Source organism: Homo sapiens, chromosome 2 (assembly GCF_000001405.40).
Source record: "Homo sapiens chromosome 2, GRCh38.p14 Primary Assembly".
Classification (NCBI taxonomy): Eukaryota; Metazoa; Chordata; class Mammalia; order Primates; family Hominidae; genus Homo; species Homo sapiens.
The window spans coordinates 118,791,734-118,809,499 of NC_000002.12; the positions used below are offsets into that span (position 1 = coordinate 118,791,734).

A 17,766-nucleotide genomic window follows, 5' to 3' on the forward strand; every position below is an offset into this window, starting at 1 on the left:
AGAAAAGGCTACTAGGAGGAAGAGTTGGTAATAGGGTTATTTTTACATTCCAGAAAGAGAGTCACAAAAAGCATATGGAATTGATTAGAAGAGAGGAACCTGCTGGTGGGCACATTAAGAATGCTGTTCTCATTTATTCTGGTTGAGGACATGCAAAGGTGCAATGCAACACTCTCAAGCCGCTGGGGAAAAAAAAAGGCCCACTGTAGTGGTGGTTTGTCCCAGCAGTCAGCTCAAAGCAGCAAAGGTTTTTGTCTGATATAAGAAACTCTGAATATTAGGCCAGTGTTTCTCAAACTTTAATATGTGTGTGTGTGAATCCCCAGGGTGTCTGTTAAAATGCAGATTCTGCCGAGAGGGTGACACCAATGCTGCTGGGCCACAAGATACACCCATGGAGCAAGGCACTGGGGTGCTCAAACAAACAGAGCTGGACAAGAAGGTTCATTCAGACCTACCATGGGCCGGACACACCTCCAAAGAGCAAAGAGGCCCAAAGAGGCAAAGAGGGAAAACAAGAGAGTTAGGCATCATCTTACACTTTAAGAGTAAAGTATAGACAGACAACTAAAGCAAAAGTCAGTAAACAAAGGATTGTAAAAATATGACTAAAAGTTATATGGAAACCTTAGGAGGGAGTGGCTAATTCCAGGGGAACTAGGGGAGGTATCAAGGAAGCCAGCTCTTGAGGACAATGACTTGTCAGAGAGGAAGGGGAAGGGCATGCCTTGTAAAAGGAACAGCATGAGCAAAGTCACAGGTGGCGTGAAGGAGCCACAGCATGTTTGAGAAACAGAGAGATGTGAGTGGAGCACATGGTGGATGAGAGAAGGGGTTAGAAAGGAAGCCAGACAGGAAGACTCCTGTGAGGCTTGTTAGGGAGCTTGAGGTTAGAGCAAAAGAATCACTGGGCATGTTAGGAAAAAAGAGCAAGGGTGGCTTGGATTTAGGTTGAGGGTGATTATTGCAGGGGAGGGAAGGGGATGCCTTTTTCCTTACTGAAGATAAGATGAGAGGACTACAGGCCTGGGTGGCAGGAACATTAGCCAACGTGAAGACAAGAAATTAGACCTGGTCCACTGCCTCTGCCTTCTCCTTTCCTGCTGAGTTTAAGCCAATCAGCTTGATGGGTTCATGGGTAGACTCAGGGCTCCAGAAACACAACAGATAGGCAGGTGTCTGGGATTCAGAAAGACAACAGAGAAGGGGAAAAAAAGAAAGGATTTCAGGGCCAGGGGAAAGGGCTGGACACTTTCATTCGTTCAACTGTGCTGGTCACCTGGATGCGGTTCATGGTATCCTCTGGGAAGTTGTTCATGTAAGGATGAATACAGTGTAGCAAAATTAGTGCCTCCGGAGAAGTAGCCTACGTGTTGGGAAGCTGCAAGGGTAGTACCTATGCCAGCTGGGGTGGACAGGAAGAGAAGGGAGTCAGGAGAAAGGCCTAACAGAAGTGATCTCCTGGTTGAAGTTTGAAGGACAGGTAGGAGTTAGCCAGGCCAGGAGAAGGAAGAACACTTTAGGCAACTGGAACAGGTAGAAACAGGAAGCATAGGGCCCTGGAGCCCCATTCAGCATGGGCAACAGGGCTGGGTATGGGTTGGGCTTGGTGGATAATGAACGTCAGACAGAGGCTAGATCTTCAAGGGTCTGGGGTCAGAGCATTAACACTGGAGACTAGCTCATTAACACTGGAGACTAGCCTACAGTCCCAGCAGGTAGAAATTGGGCATAACAGCAGTGATTCCAAAAAGAGGACCCAGAAGCTTCTTGTGCCAGGACCACCTGAACCAATTTGCACAACCATGGCCAGGGTTACAGTGGCCTCATGAGACAGGACCAGGATCCCTCCAAGAGCACTCTTTGGTGAACACTTTTGGTAGGCGAGTGACGTCAGGGCCTGGTCACAGGGGTCCATGGTATCATGCTTCGAGAATCGTGCCTGCTTCCACTGGAACTCCAAGATCATCGAGGGAATACAAACAGAGGTGATGGGCTCTGGTGAGGATCCTTAAGCCTAAATCCCTTTCAATCACACAGATATCACCAGTATCATCAGTTGACAAAGAGGTTTAAGATTTCTGAAACTTCAGCTTGGTTGAACATCAAAAGGCAGGTGGACCATCCTGATGCATTAGCAGTTTGAAGGGGCCGGGAAGAGTGAAAATGACTAGGAATTACTATAGTGAAATGGAGGCTGGAGCAACCTAGCATGAAGATCCCACGAAGAACGGAGTGAGGCAGAGCACAGGGCAACCTGGAAAGAAGCAGTCACGACTAGCAAAGGGAGCCTGTGCATTTTGTTAGGGGTGGGAAGGGTCTCTAGAGGCCTCAACCTGGTGAGGACAGTGAGAACTAGAGGAGCAAGGGGACAATTGGCCCCTGGTCGTAGAGGAAAAAAGCTGCCAACTGCTGAGGATCCCAGCTGGAAGGAAACCTGGAGTGGATGCTGGAGGAGTGAGCCTGAAGTTTGCTCCCTGTGCCTGCACAACTGTAGGGAAGCTTCGTGAGGTGAGATGATTCCATAGCTGAAGGAGGATCTGCCTGACACGTGTATCCAGTCCAGGGATCCCTGGAGTCAGGGGTCCTTCAGAGGGAGACACAGGCTGCCTGGAACATGAGGTGTCCCCACTCTAGGAAGGAACATGACAGGTGGGGTCAGTGCTTGAAAGGTATGCAGATCATGCAATCACTTGGGACATGTTAACTGAGTGGGTGGGCACCTTGGTCCATTCTGCATGGAGTACCAATGCCTCCAGCAGTCCTGTCCAGCTTCAGACAAACCAGCCCAGCTAGCATAACCTCTTCTCAAATCTTCCCCATGCCTCAGATGCACTGAACTCCCGAGGGAACCAGGATCAGCACCCCAGCCTCTCCCTTTAGTTTTCTGCCACTACATACGTGGTGTCCACTCTGCAGTGGCAGGTGTCAAACACAAGACAATAAAGGATCTGAGTCCTAGCAGTCTGATGTGTAAATGCATCAAAAGTGTCCTTGGAAATCTGATAATCCAACCTCATCATGTTGAAATGAGGCATTAGCGGCCAAGAATGGGGCAGTGACTTGTCCCGCCAGTGAGAGACAAAGGCAGGCTAGAATTAGGGTGTGCTGATGAGCCCAGGCTTGCTGAAAGCTCCCACTTACTGAGCATCCACTCCATGCCAGGCCCCTCCACTAGGCACTTTAATAAAAATAACAACAATAGCAGCTACCATGGACTGAACATTTACTCTGTGCCTGGCACTTGGCAAACCTTATCACATTGGATCCCTACAACGACCTTAAGAGAAAGTGATTTCTACCACTGTCATACAACTGGGATTCACTCCCAGGTCAGTCCAACTGTAAACTCTCAGCCCATTTTATAAATATCATAACCCTCAGCTCTCACAACAGCTCTACAAGTTAACATTTTTATCCCCACTTTTTCTTGATGACAAAACAGAGGCTCGTTGTGATAAAATAGCCACCCCAAATTCACAAAGCTGACATGTGACAGAACAAGACTGTGCTCTTCCTTCTGCATGGGTGTGGCTGGTGCCCTGAGTCCTCTGCCTCCCTGGGAACAAAGAGGGGACACTCAGACATAGACATTAGGGAAGGGCTCTAAGTCATTGCACGCCATCTTGGTGGTCCAAGGTACCAGCAGGTAGGCCCAGCACCACCTTCTGGAGTTCCCAAGGCTGTGACTCAGAAGGAATCCTCACTCAAGGCCAGAAGTGTAACTTTTGAGTTTGCCATTTGTATAGTGTTGACTGAAGCCACCAAGTTGTGCCTGGCCATTTTATGTGTGTGCCAGGGTCATTAAAGGAGGCCAGAATGGCGTTGAGAAGGGCTCGACAGAACATCCCTAGGACACTGTGAGATGCTAGCATGCAGACAGGGATGCAGAAGCAAATGGCATCACTGAACTCTATCCCTGAGTAGGGTCCACTCTTTGTCTATACCACTGCCCTCCTGGGGCACTGCTCAGAACCTCCTCTGCTTCCCATCTGCCTGCAAGCAACATCAAAATGCTTTGCCGCAACATTTGAATCCCCCTCCTGCCCCCCCAACACATACACACACACATGCACATATGTGTACACACACACACCCATCTGATGCTCACCATCTATTTGGTTGAACACTATTCACATTTCACTTCCCAATTTTCCACTGGGACCTCGCACTCAGTTTTCTCGTGAACAGGTTCATCTTTCCCAGTTTAAGGAGAAAAGGTGGGGCAAAGTTCATCTCTGTGGTCCCCCTGTGCCCCCCACTGTACCCAGAAAACAGAGGCAGCTTGTTACCGTTTGTTGAATTTAAGTTGCATTGTATTCAGAATGGGCACTCACTACCAGCCCAGGTGCATCCCAGGCTGATGGCAGCGCAAAGAACAATTTGCTGCCAATGGAGCTGAAAGGTTGTCTAGCCAGCAGCTTCCCAGCCACAGCATTATGCCCCTGGGAGAGAGTGCTTAGACACGTGTTAGTAAAATGAGGTTATATGCAAGCCATGGTATACTGGTAAGTGTTTAACAACTGGCTCTCCAAAAAAAGAAAGCCCTGGTTCGCAGCCCTTGCTAATTTCTATGGTGTAAATACCACCTTGGCTGGTTTCAACATGGCAAATGACATCACTGACTGCTGAGTTGAGAGGAAACTAACAATAGGCTCTTGTGAGTGAGTAAGAGCCAGTTCCTACACATGGCTATGTGTCAGGCATCGGACCCCTGCCACTATTTGTGTGTGGGTATTTCAAATAATGATATTGGCTTCCTGGGTCTTATTGTCGTATGTCTCTTTCTCCCATCTCTACCTGCACCATCTTATTCTCAGCCACCATAATCAATGACATAAACTCTTTCACTAGCCCTGTCTGCTCTTACACTTTCTTCTCTTGTTCCCTTCGATCAACTCACCACACACCAGCCACGATACCTTAACACACAATCTGATCATGCCACTCCCTGGGTTTAAAGCTTTCAATGGTTTGCCACCTCTATTAGGGTAAAGTCCAAACTCATGACCACTCTCTATTTGTGGTCTAGCCCCTTCCGTGCCCTGTAGCTTCCCAGGCACCCACTCCTGGCTCAGACACACTGGCCAATTCTGGCTCTATGACTGGGCCAAATTCCTTTTGGACTTCAGGCCCTGTGCACAGCCGCAGCTCTACCTCTGCCTACCATGCTCTTCCTTCTCCATTGTCTCCTTCAGTAACAACTACCCTTCTTCAGGCCTCAGCTCAAAGGTTTCTTCCTCAGAGATAACTTCACTCCTTCAACATGATTATTGTCCACCATAGAGCCCAGACTGTTGATTTGTAACACTTCTCCTGTTTGTGTCATACATGTAACTGTGTGATCATTGGTTTAACATAAGCTTTCCACACTGGGACTGGAAGCTCATGGAGACCACATCAGTCCTGCTCACCATTATATAGTCAGATTTAGCATGGAGCCAGGCACGTGGTGGAAAGTAAATATTCATTAATTGAATTAATTAGTTAATGGTCCATGAGCTCAAGGAGATAAGCAAGGTCTTCCCAGATGGCCATTCCCAGGATTGATCTTTCAAGAAAGAGGAAGAACCCCAGAGAGAAAACTGGAACTAAGATGGGAAAGGTGTCTTTCTCTTCATCATGGCTTTGTTGTCTTGAACTTGGACTTTGAAGAATCAAGGAGTCTAGACATACATTCTGGGTGGTGGGTGCTAAGGAGGGGCCCGCCCATGAAGATGGTTCTACCTAGAATCTAGGTCCTCTAACTAGCCTGGTTTATTCCCCAGATTTGGAAAGAGGATGGATTTGAGTTGATTTAGTGGAGGTTAAAGAGCCTTGACCCTTGAATCTTATAGCCTTGCTTGGATCTGGAAAGGAAGGTTTAGGCCAAACAATAAAGAAAAGAGCAGCAGCACCTTTTAAGGCCAGAGTGGAAGTGGTGGGGATGGAATCTGCAGGAGAACTTAGGAGGATACTGAGAGCTGGAGCCCCTCAGCCAATTCTGGCTCCCACCAGAGAGGCCCCTTCAGTGGCCAACCTTGAAGGATCTGCCCTGGGTTTTTATGAAGCATGGCAGGAAATGTCTTCATGGTCCTATGGCCCACCGTTTCTGTTCCTGACCATGGCTCCCTCACACCTCTGATGGTTTCCACATATTGTGACATGTACAGTTTATGTAGGAGTTATGGGTTGCATTATCTTAAATAGTAGAATGCTTGCAATACTTTATATAATGAGATGTGAAGTGACTGTGAAATTCTGTTGCACCCTAACAAGACTTCTCTGTGACATAACTGGCAATCATAATATAACAGCTGGCATTTTTTAAAATCTGTCCCTTTCAGGTAATTTTTTGTATCACTCATTGATATTTTAACAGTGAGTGATAAATAACTGTTTTGCCAAAGGGATATGTGCTATAGTGAAAATATTTGGAAAACAGATTTTTAGAAGTGTTTCCATCGTTGTGTGATTTTGTTCTGTGAAGTGAATATATGCAATACTTAAAAAAAAAGATCTGGCCGGGCTCAGTGGCTCACACCTGTAATCCCAGCACTTTGGGAGGCCAGGAGGTCAGGAGATCGAGACCATCCTGGCTAACACGGTGAAACCCCGTCTCTACTAAAAATACAAAAAATTAGCCGGGTGAGGTGGTGGGCGCCTGTAGTCCCAGCTACTCGGGAGTCTGAGGCAGGAGAATGGCGTGAACCTGGAAGGCAGAGCTTGCAGTGAGCCGAGATCGCGCCACTGCACTCCAGTCTGGGCAACAGTGAGACTCCGTCTCAAAAAAAAAAAAAAAAAAAAAAAAAAAATCTAATATACGCACACTTTAAAAACTTGGAAACAATTTTCTAACCTATTTAAAAATTTTCCAAAAGAAGATCTTCAGTGGATCTTGAGCCCACTTGTTAAAAATATAACTTTTGATTGGTTTACAAGAATTGACATCAAGAAGATAGAAACTGACTGGCTGACTAGATGAATTTCAATTAAACAAAAAACAAAACCTTTCCATAATTGCTAGATGTGGTTTTTTTTTAAAAAAAAAAAAAAAGCATCTTGATTTAGTAAGCACAGCCAGCATTGTATTTCTTCCATTTGGTGCCTTTGTAGAGATTTTTTTTTCAGCTCTGACAACCATTAAAACTAAGTATTTTTTTTTAAAAAAAAAGAAATTTAGAACCAGAACTTTGAATCCAGCATTAAAACACATTCAAATGCATTTCTCTAAAATTAATACTTTTCACTGAGAACAAAATGTCATTTTTACTATTAACAAATAATTTTTAATTAAAAATATTCCTTAATTCGCCTTTATGACATCTTCTTTAGTTTTCACTGTAGTTTCCTTTGTGTTCCATTGCTTTTTATATTTAGCTTCTTTTGTCTCATTCATACATTTAAAAGCCCTGCTTACTCTACCTTTATCTCACCTTCATTCATTTCTACTTTTGTGTATATTTTATCCTGGAAATCTCACTAGTATAGAAATAGATGTGTATAATTTATACTAAGTGATTATAGATGGGGGACTGATGGAAATGCAAGGTCCAAAGTGTGTAGCAATCACTCCTGATGCAGGCAAGTGTCTTGCTTCATCAATAGAGTAAAGCTCCTTGGAGGCAGGAAGACTGGCTTAATTCCTCCACAACCTCTCTACTCCACCCGACACCTGGCCATTGCTGCAGAGGAAGCATGTGTTGAGAGGGGGAGAGGACACAGAAGTGGAAGTGGGGAAAGGCTAAACACAGTTGCTGGGGAGGCTGGGAAGATGCTGTCCCCTCCCCGGAATCCCCCCAGCCTAAGAAGACCCATGCTCAAGGCTAGCTTTGCCACCAGTTTGTTCAGCGGTGTTGGTAAGGATCTCATTGGCTTTTTTTTTTTTTTTAGCTACATAATTAAGTTTCCCAAACTTCAGGCATTTATGCACCAACAGGATTTTCTGCCATTTTCTCATAACCTCTATCCTCTAATTAACCTAACACCTCTTTCTTAAATAACTCAGTTCTTTCACAAGCCTTATCCTATGCAATAACCACCTGAAATCACAGACTGATGAGATAGCTATTTTTTGTCTACTACATGTTAAAATGAATATGTAACTATGAAAATATAAAATGTTCATATTCTTGTTACCAAGAGTGTATGTACCATTCTTTGGGAAACCTGGGTACAGGTGGTATTTTTAAGGTCCAATTAAACTAAGTTCCACCAGTCCATAATTCTACCAATGGAGTGATCACTCTGATCTTGGAGCTTTCCAAGTCTCAGTGCCAGGTTAGGATTGAGGCTCTCTCCTCATTTCCCAAAGTCACAGAACAATTCTTGCTCTCCTTTGGAGCATGACCTCAAAGTTGTAGGGAAAGAAATGGGATTATTTTTATTTCAACATGACAAGCTCTCCCTTGGCAATAATTACCCCCAAACTAAAGCCATGTGATACTCTATCTGTGAATCTCTGATTTTTTTTAATTGCAAATTTTTAGCTCAAAGCTTCATTTCCACCCACAATCACTGAAGCTACAGTCAGAGTTATAGTGTCAAGACAGTTGAATATATATCTGAAGTGAAGAGGGGAATATGCCTTGTGCTTAGAATCAAGGGACCAGTTTCTAGGTCTGGTCTGCCAGTAATTTCTTAGTAATCTCACTGTGGACAAGTTACTTGCCTGGTCCTTTCTATCCCATGAGTGAAGGATGGAGACAAGTATGACTATTATTGCACAGACATACATTACTACTGTTATTTATGCAGTAAACATTGTGGACGTTACATTCTACTGGGAGGAGACAGACAGTGAAGATAATACATTATCAAACAATGTAAGACATTAGGAGGCAGAAAAAATAAAGCAGGGATGGGGAGAGAGTTTCTGAGAGTCAGAGATTCCTTCTCATGACCACAGCTGCCTTAAGCCTGCATCTTACCAGCCCACTCCCTTCCCCTCCACTCTTGTCCTCAATTTCTAATCTCACCTACGTGTCAGGATCTATCACTCAGGTAACAATTAGTAGCATAAGCCACCCACCTGTCCCTTGTCCCAGACAATGCAACGTTTCCCATCTGCTCCTTGTCGAAGGAACTCTTAGCCTGACCTTAGGCTAAGCAAGGACAGAGCTGGGACCTCAAATTCATCCACAACTAAACCAGAAATTCAGGCAGCCTAGTTGTAGGACCCTGAATCAGTGACTCAACTTCTATGGAATGTAAAGTCTTTTTTTCTGTGAAACACAGAGATGAGATGTGGTTATTTCTTAAGGCCTTTCCAGTACCAAAATTCCCCAAGTGTAATCATATCAACAACAAATAACAATGCAAAAAATATTGAGAGAAGTGGACTATACCTAAAACCATAATGATACTGCTAAGAACATATAAATGACATGAACCCTGAAACAGCGACCGAAAATGGGGTTGATGTGGCCCCCAAAGCTATCACTCTTCTAAGTGATCTTGGGCAAATAACCATTCTAGAACATGTAACACCAATAACGTTGACTGAATTTCTGTTGCCTGCCAGACACCGTGTTAAACATCATCCCATTGTTTCCACATTCCAGTGAGGCCTGGCATAGACCTTCATAGCACCTTACGCAAGATGCAATGCCTGGAAGATTCTGCCAGGCTCCTGCCTTTCCCAGCTCCACCCTGCTTCATGCCTGTCCAGAAGAAGGCAGGATTTCTGGGCCAGAGGTCACACAGTGGAGGGCTGCATCTGGCCCACAGATACGTTTGGGTTGGCCCATACAGAGTTGGCCTGTACCAATTGTTCAAAAGATTTTCATCAGTTACCAGCTAATTTCACATTTAAGGAAAAAAAAGTCTGGCTTCTTTGAAAACTTAGAGACTATGGCCCACACTTATAGCTACCATTGGCTGGAGGTGAGTCACAATCACCCCATGAGAAAAGGCATGTGCACGCTAGTTTGCCATAGACCCCAGCACTCTCTGTTGCCTTCTGATCAAGCCCCTTCATTCACTGAAAATACCTGCCTGGCCTTGTTCTCCTGACTCCTTCTTCAGACCTGCATCATGACCCCAGAGGAGGATGTCAGGATCCAATGAGTAATCAGACACTGAAATGATCTTGGCCCAGCAGGCTATAATTAATGCACATTAGATTTATGTGGGGACCAGACATAAAATATAATAATATGTGCCCTTTATGGAGTACCCATTCCATCCCAAGCTCTACAAAAATCATTTCATTTTGCCCTCCGAAAAAAAAAAAAAAAACCCTATTAACCTTCATTTCCAAAAAATGAAAGAAAAACAAAATTCAAGAGAGATTAAATGATTTGTCCAGGGTCACACCTTTGGGATGGATTTTGAGCCCAGCCGAGCCCTGCTCTTTCCTAAGGTGCACTTCCCATTGCCCCCACCTTGCATTTGTATTGTTCTTCTGACTTTTCCAGGATGTGAGCTCCACTATTAAAATCAGGGTTTTGCTCTAAATTAAATGATATGTAAAAGGCTCGAATAGATACATTTGGTCTCCTGTGCTGGTGGCAAGGAGGGAGGGAGCTGGGCCATGAACAGAGTTGGTGCTGGAAGCAGACAGAGATCACCATGCAACTGTTGAGCCTTGTCAAATTTGAGAGTGTATGTGAGACCCACCAACAAATATCCCTGTGTCTTTTGCAAGACTTCAGACATTCCAGGCCACCAGGCTGATCAAACCAATTTAACGGGGCTAGGGGTGAGGGTGGGCTCAGATTTGTTCAACATTAGGCTGTGTCTGGGCGTGCAAAGTAGTGCATTTCTCACTGACTGGTCAATACTGCTGCAGCGAAGAAAGAATTAAGGAAACATGCGAACTGAAAAGTGCTGTCTTGTGCTACATTATCCTGGCACTCAGTGGTCTGTTCCTGCAATGGAGGGCCCTCTAGTTTCTGCTGTCCTAGCCCCAATCACAACAGGAGAGCCATTCTTTGACTCCTGAATGAGGGAGTGGGGTCACTCAAGCACTGGCTGTGTAATTTTGGCAGCTTAACAATCACTCTGGGACTCACTTTTTCTCTCTCTGAAATGGCAATATTATACCTCCTTCAAGGACTCATTGTGAGAAAAACCTCATGAGGCACCAACAAACTTTAGTTTGTATCTCCACAATCAGAAGTAAAGACTTTAAAGGCAGACACTCCCCTTGTTACCCCCATTTCACACCAAGGAGGCCTAGAGCCTTGGAAGACCCCAAGAGCATTCAGAAGGACTCATGGATTGACATAGACTGCAGCCCCGAAGGGTAGGGAAGGAAGGTTGATGCCCAAGATCTGAGCATCGTGAAGGAAAAACTCTAAAATCTTCAGACCAAAAGGGGAAGACACTAAACACAGTGAAGGAGAAAAAGGAGTGAGGGGATCTTATGGCTTTTTGCAAAGGACACCCAGAAGGGTGGACATGCTTGAATTCAGTTACATAACGAGTTGTTGAGAGGGTGCCTCCCACGCAGTCAGGGTGGAAGTGATAAAGATGACTCATACCCTGGCCCCTCTCTCAGAGTACTTTATTCCATGTTGGTGATATCTCTGATTACCCACACGTCAGTTAGCATTGTGCTTTGCTTACCGTGTAGATGCCCAATAAGAACTCGATGAAGGTGTGACTCAACTCCTAGGTACACTAACATAGAGCATTCTCTATATTCTTCAAAGCCCACTCACCATTCCATCCTTGCTCCATTCCCACCCAGTCCCCCCATCCTTGAAGCCACCCCTCCAATCCCTTCAGACCTCCTACGATCATACCTCCTACGATCATAGTCTATTCACCGGCATATAAGAACGAATTATACGCTGCCCGCATTGTACACTCTCCTTTGCTCAGCACACAGTAGCAGCACTATGAAAATGAATGAATTAAAGCTCTGTGAGGGCAATGACCATGATTTTCCCGAGGAGCCAGCCCATTTTATATGTTAATACATTCTTCTGGCTGGCTTGTGTGGTTGCCACTAAGAACATGTGGACTGCCTGAAAGAAGGAGGTTTAATATTGGAAAGTAAGCATCCGAGGCCAGAAGTGGCATTGGCCATCTGTCCCAGGACAGATCCAGGTATCCACACACAGTCTCTGAGCAGCCCGAGTGCCTTTTAATATCCACATCAGGCCCTCCCGCTGCTCCTTCCCCAGCTCAGAACCCTGGGCTGTGCCGCCCCACCTGCCCAAACACTGTCCCACCAAGGTGGGTGTAGAAGCTGAAACCTGAACCAAGTATGTGTAAAAATCCCCAAAGAGGGAAAAACGGTTGTTTGCCAAGCGAGGTTCTACAAGTTTAGAAAAGGTGAATTGGCCTTCACCTTCTTTAGATAGGGCAAATGCGACTGAAGGGCATCACTGGTATTTTCCCAAAGTTAGTGGCATTAATCTATATAATTAATTAGACAGACTAGACCTACATCTTTCTGTTTTGCACATTTGTGGAAAAAAATTCCTTGAGCTTGGCACACTGATTATTTTGTGCTAGAACAAAAAGATTTGTAGCTTCAAAACCAAATTCAAGCAATTTAATAAATTGCAAGCCAAGCCCTTTAGGGCTGGGTTTGGTCTCAGATGATTTTTCTGCTCGTGCTCGGGTCTAGGCAGGGTAACAGTGCAGGAAAAACAAGAGGCCACTGGCTTGTTAAGGCTGGATGTTCTTCCCACCCGGAAATTCTCTTCCGAGCTGTAAGTACCCAAAAACCAACCTACATTCTTAAATTCCACTGAAAAAAGATCTCATCCTAGTTTCGATAAATTTGATACTTCTGTGCTCTGTGCAATATGTGTGATATATAATCCATATCAGGGTTTCTAGTCCTAAATGTAATATGCATCCTGGAAAGAGAATAATTCTTTGCTAATCTTTTTGAGTTTATTGCATCTGCTGTCTCAATTCTAACAAATCCAGTTCAGGCCTTAAAATCACTTGCGTACATTGTTTGTCTGTCTCATAATGGTATCCATAGAGTCCAGTTATTTATTTGATGAAGAGCAAGGATAGTCCTATGAGACGTCTTTTCTCTGTTTCTTTAACAATGGCAATAACTAAGTCATTATTCAGGAAACTAAACTCCCATTCAAAATGAATTTTAGATTTTGTTCCTATGCTTTCTGCACATTGAATTGAAGTTCACGAGTTTTATGGCCCAATTGTGAGGGTACATGTGAGTACTGGGGAGGGTGGGGGATCTGAAACCTACTGGATTGTCATACAGAGAAATAACTATATAAAATTTTAATTATCTATCTTGAAGTAATAATAAATGTTTGATGAGATAATAATGAGACATGCAGGGAAATGTTAATGAATGTGTGGAACATAAAGAGTTTAAATAAAAGAAGAAGAGGAATCGCTTAGTAATCGGCTGTTACTATTCATATATTTGCTACAGGGTTTTGGAAGTCAACTGAAGGATGTTTCACAGGTCACACTGTAGTCAGGATAATATTATGTTTGTTTATGGTGGAAACAAAGATCTTTGAATATTTTTCCCCTGGCAAAACTGTTACCAAAATAACTCCTGGGTTTCAGTTGGAATCTGGAATCCCGTATTGAAGTTGCGTTTTACGTTTTTCTTGCATCTCTCTGGCCTGGTTCCTATTTCCTTGTTGCTACCGCTAAGGGAAAACATGCACCACAACAAGGACAGTATCAGAAGCCCCATTTGCCGGCCTCGTCGGCAGTCATGGTGCTGAGATTGTTCCCAACTTAATTCAACAAAAATTAAATATTTTCTCTTTCAGTCTGGTTGTTTACTTGGAAAAACACCATATAATTAAAACCATTTTATGACTTGTCGCAAAGAACAAAAAAGATGACTCAGTCCTCAAGACTCTTTGGTGGGGAGGCTTTCCACTCAAGTGAGAAATAGAAAGTATCGGTGGTCAATGGGACATTTACAGTTTTTTATTTTCCCCTTAGAGTTAGGAAGGTCTTGCCCCAGAGCTTGAGGAAGATATTTTAAAGGAAAAGCAGAACCAGAGATGAGGAGAATGTGAGAGGCTTAGATTGCCTTCAGGACTGGGAAACTTAGCATCAATACTGAAGCCAGGTTTTACAATGCCAATGCCCTTGCCTTTGGCAGGAAAAAATGATGGGGGAGTAGGATCCCTCAGAACTGGCTTCAGACAGATAGTTGCATTTTATTTCTTGCTGAAATCAATAAGTATTAAAACTATAAAAAGGGACTTTTCATCTGCTAATATAAAAGTAACAATGGTCTTACTAGGACTAAGTCCAATAGTAGTAAGAGGTTACTCTCAGTAGGTACTTCCCTGGCTGACATGAGTGCCATGTCAAGAACTTCCCAGGTATCATCCCATCTGATCCTTACGACTCTAAGAGACAGATAGTCTTGCCTCCATTTTGCAGATTTTAAATAACTCACGTGTGAAAAAGTTAAGAATTTGCCCCCAAACACAATGCCAGTAAGCGGTAGAGCCGGAATTAAATTCTAGAGTCTCTTCCGTTGCAGCCTGTGGGTTCTCTTTCTCCTGCAAAGGTACCTTCTCTGCACTACTGGTGTGACAGATTCCACACATCAACACCGGGCACGAATTGGGCCGCCTGCTGTGTTGCCACCCCTTTAGATCCATGTGGATGCCCCATGTGGACACCTGTTGGCAGATATTGCTGGACAGACAGCCACCTGTACTGTCAGAGGCCTCAGAAGGGGAGCTTAGGGACGACCTTACATGAACCTTTCACTTTACAGACCAGGAAACCGAGGTTCAGTTAGCAGGGAGCAGGTAGAGATAGAAAAGATCTCTTTGCTCAATGCTAGGTTTTCAGGAGCTAATTGTTTTATTGAGCTAATTGTTTATACACTTTCTGGCCAACTCCATAAGATAAATAACCCACAAATACAATGTCAGAGGATTCTGCTGCTTGTAGCATTCAAGTGGGGGTTGATGGGATGGATACAGGGAGGAAAGAAGAGAGGAAGAGGAACTCAGAATAAAAAAGAGAAGGGGGAAAAAATAAAAGGAAGCTGTGCCCGAATTCAAACAAAACACATTCCGTCAGGATTAAATTCCTTTTTGTTTGCCTGTGTCACCGTCTCAGCATTTTGGAGGGTACATGGATGTTCTCATGAAACCAGTCAGACTCAAAATACACCATTACAACTTTATATATCCAGTATGTAATTTGTACTTAACGGAGAAATATTTGGGGCCATTTGCCTCCTCCCCCACTCCACCCCTCAGACTTGGAGACGCACGGTGGGAGGCAGGCCTCGGTGCGACCTTTGTTTTTAATCTTCTGACACCAGCAGCAGTTGGCTGGCTGTAAAATTTCATCAGTCTCCTCTGCCGTCGCTGGAGCCTAGACACCAGCCCAGAAAGGAGAATCCACGCAGAACTGCTTCCCTGACATTCTGGAATCTCCCAGAGCCCTCAAGGTCTGGAGCCCAGAGGGAAACGTGGGGCAGAGGACCTCAGGCCCTTACTGCAGTAAGAGTCAGGGAACCAATGCAGGTTCCCTCTGTCCTCTCTAAAACTAGACGAGGGCTAGCCTGCTGAGAGTCGTGGCTCTGAAGCTGGGCAGAGAGGCTGGCTTTCCTTCCGAGGCCTGCTCAGTTCCGCCCAAAATATATCTGTTGGCTCACGTAGCTCCTCACCAGGCTAGACCAGGCCCGGCTGTGCACAGGCCCCCGCAGGATCTGCACAGCGAGCTGGGTGGTGGCGAGGACATAATTTAAAACTGTTGCCTAGTGTCTTCCTAAGCCGTGCCCGACTCTGAGAAAAAAAAAATCATCATTCAGGCAACAGCTGGAAGGCTTGGCTGAATGGTGTGTGCTTCAATGTGGAAGGTCACAGGATACTGATCTAAGGGCTGAGAAGTCTTGCTCACCCAACTGTTGACACTCAGTAAACGGGGCAGGCGGGGCTGGGGTGAGCATCTGAGGAAGAAGGCCCCCACCCCACCCCCAGCCAGAGAAAGAATAGGAAGCGACTTCTATTCAGGGTTCACAGGGGTCCCTAGCCCCCCTCTGCCCCCTGCTAAAGCCACCAAGCCCTTTCCTTGCCTCTAAGTTACCTTGTATTATAACAGGATTAAAGTATATTTAGCTCCTCTATTAGCATAATTTAGCCCCCATTTTGGCCTACTTAAGGCTTCCGGCTGGCTTTGATCAGTTTTGCGTTCTACTGGTCAACAGGAGAGCCCAGCGGGCTGCGGGGGAGGGGGAAAGGGGAAAGGGAGGGAGGAGAGAGAAGGAGTCGGACTGTGAAATTATCCTGATGCTTCTTCTCTTATTCCCAATATTCTGTGTTTTTTCTTAAATGGCCCAGTTTACACCCAGAGTGGGCAGGAGGGAGAGGGGGGAGGTGGCAGGAACCAATAATAATTAGGTCTTAGTTGGAAGAGGAGAGAAAGGGTTGAGCATCTCCTAAGAAAAGGAGGGGGGGACCCTATAATTTCTACAGTGTCTGCCTTTTTATTGCTTGCATTTGCATATAAATTAAATCCATATTGTAGCTTTAAGGCAAGCCTGGGCTTAGAATTCCACACCGCTCGGGGTCCCATTGTCTTAGAGCCAGTTCTAGGCGGCAGCGAAATGAAAAGGGAGGGGAGAGCAGAGGAAGGAGAAAGTCAGCTTTGTAGCGTTTTTAATTGCCTGTTTGTTTTCTCCGCCAATTACAGGCAAATTAATATTTAAACTTTGGGAGGCTGGGAGGAAATGCTTACAAAATAGGTTTCAGATTCCAGGGTGTGCGGCCTTCGGCTTTCGGCCATTCTAGGGTTGAAATTTCATGGTGGTGAAATAAAAAAAAAATAATCATGTAATTAAGTCTCAGCTTGGACCTAGATCCTGTTTCGATTTCTTCTCTCATCGTGCCAGGGGCGATGAGGTTCAGTTGTGCTTCTGGAAGGATCCAGGGTTGAGGGTTCTCCAATCGCAGCAAAGGGCCCGGGCTGGGTGTTGCCGAGCGGTCCTCGGCTCCCCGGTGGACCATGCCCCTCCAGAGGTCTGGCCCAGCGTCGCTCTGCTCTGCAAAAAAGTGGCTCTCCGCTGATCTCGAATGCACCAGCGAGCCTCCAGATTCTGGGTGAAGCCGATTTTGGAAATCCATATGCCGCCCTAGCAAACACATCAGGATTGAGGTTACCGCATAAGAGCAGCCTGCAGAGGCCAGGAACATGCAGGGAAAAGCCCTCCATGCTTTTGTCTTTAAAACATTCAAAAGTGAGGACAGGCCTGGGGAGGGGCAGCTTTCTCCCTTCAGTCTTAGCCTAGTCCAACCATAGAACGGAATCACGTTTTAGGAAACCTCCAAATCAGACAGCAATCAATGACATCAAGTTCTGATAAAATGTCACAGAGGCAGGAGGCTCGGGTGAAGCCTGGGCATCTTTTGGTTTTTTTCGGAATGTGTTGTTTTTGCTTATTTTTTTTAAATTGACATAGGTACCCTGTGATGGTTATCACCTGCCACCCCCCTCACCTCCTAGAACACTTCTCCTCATTACCGGTGCCGTAGAGGTATATTCCCTAATTTGGGAGGATAGGCTGGGTTAGTTACTGTTGTTATTAAATTCCTCTAGCAAATCTCCAACCTGACGTTATTTCAATCATGGGCTCCACGGTGTTCTTACCGCCCTTTGGAATTCTTTTTTTTTTTTTTTTTTTTTTTTTTTTTTTTTGAGACAGTCTTGTCCTGTTGCCCGGAGTTGGAGTGCAAAGGCAGGATCTCGGCTCACTGCAACCTCTGCCTCCCTGGTTCAAGCGATTCTCCTGCCCCAGCCTCCCAAGTACCTGGGATTACAGGTACCGCCACCATGCCCTGCTAATTTTTTTTT

General features: G+C 45.1%; 1 annotated feature.

Moving 5' to 3' along the window:
• Positions 11,201-11,779: a transcriptional cis regulatory region, noted in NCBI's record as "candidate enhancer chr2.4272 targeted for multiplex CRISPR interference". NCBI's record gives its function as "positively regulates EN1 gene expression with high confidence in K562 cells {active_cell/tissue: K562}" and the evidence as "EXISTENCE:mutant phenotype evidence [ECO:0000015][PMID:30612741]".